Below are 756 nucleotides of genomic sequence, written 5' to 3' on the forward strand. Positions count from 1 at the left end.
TTTGGGATGAAAACGGATAATACTGATGGTTGACCGACATCGTGAGTGCACTCAATGCCACTGAACTGGTAAAATGGTTAAAATGATAAATTTTACATTAGGTATTTTTCTGTTCTTTATATTATGTACATTTTACCACAATAAAAAACAGGATTGGCAGAGGGGTGCTATTTTAGCTAGGGTGGTCAGGGCATGTCTCTCTAAGGAGGTGTCGTTTGAACAGAATGGAGGGGAATTAGCAAGCCTTGAAGAGATTGGGGGGAAGGTATTCTGGGTGGAGGGAATTGCCAGGACAGATCCTGTGGGGCCAGAGTCGGCCTGGTGTGTTCTAAGGACAGCAAGTGGGCCCCTGTGGCTGGAGCCCAGAGAGCAAAGGGAGAGGGGGAGGAAGATGAGTACAGGGATCAGCAGGGGCTTGTATGCCAGGAGAGAACTTTGGATTTGGTTGTATGAGTGATGGGAAGCCATCGGAGGGCTGAGCAGGGAAGGGATATGAATCAGAGTTTCTGTTCAATTCTCCCTCTGCCCACACTCAGTCCTGCTCTTAATCAGGTTGGTAATCTTGCCTCTGCTTCTGACTATCTCTCTCTCCTGGCTGCTACCCTCTTCTGCACATCTTCATGACCACTATCTTGCTGAGGTCATCTTTTTTTTTTTTTTTTGAGACAGAGTCTCACTCTGTCTCCCAGCTGAAGTGCAGTGGCACAATCTCGGCTCGCTACAGCCTCTGCCTCCTGGGTTCAAGTCATTCTCATG

At 47.8% G+C, this 756-nt stretch overlaps 1 annotated feature.

Annotated features, from left to right (window-relative positions):
* Nucleotides 533–756: a silencer, noted in NCBI's record as "fragment chr20:572175-572398 (GRCh37/hg19 assembly coordinates)". NCBI's record gives its function as "represses an EF-1alpha promoter that drives an FKBP-Casp9 reporter gene in an ReSE screen in K562 erythroleukemia cells {active_cell/tissue: K562}" and the evidence as "EXISTENCE:reporter gene assay evidence [ECO:0000049][PMID:32094911]".

This window comes from Homo sapiens, chromosome 20, assembly GCF_000001405.40.
Source record: "Homo sapiens chromosome 20, GRCh38.p14 Primary Assembly".
Lineage (NCBI taxonomy): Eukaryota > Metazoa > Chordata > Mammalia > Primates > Hominidae > Homo > Homo sapiens.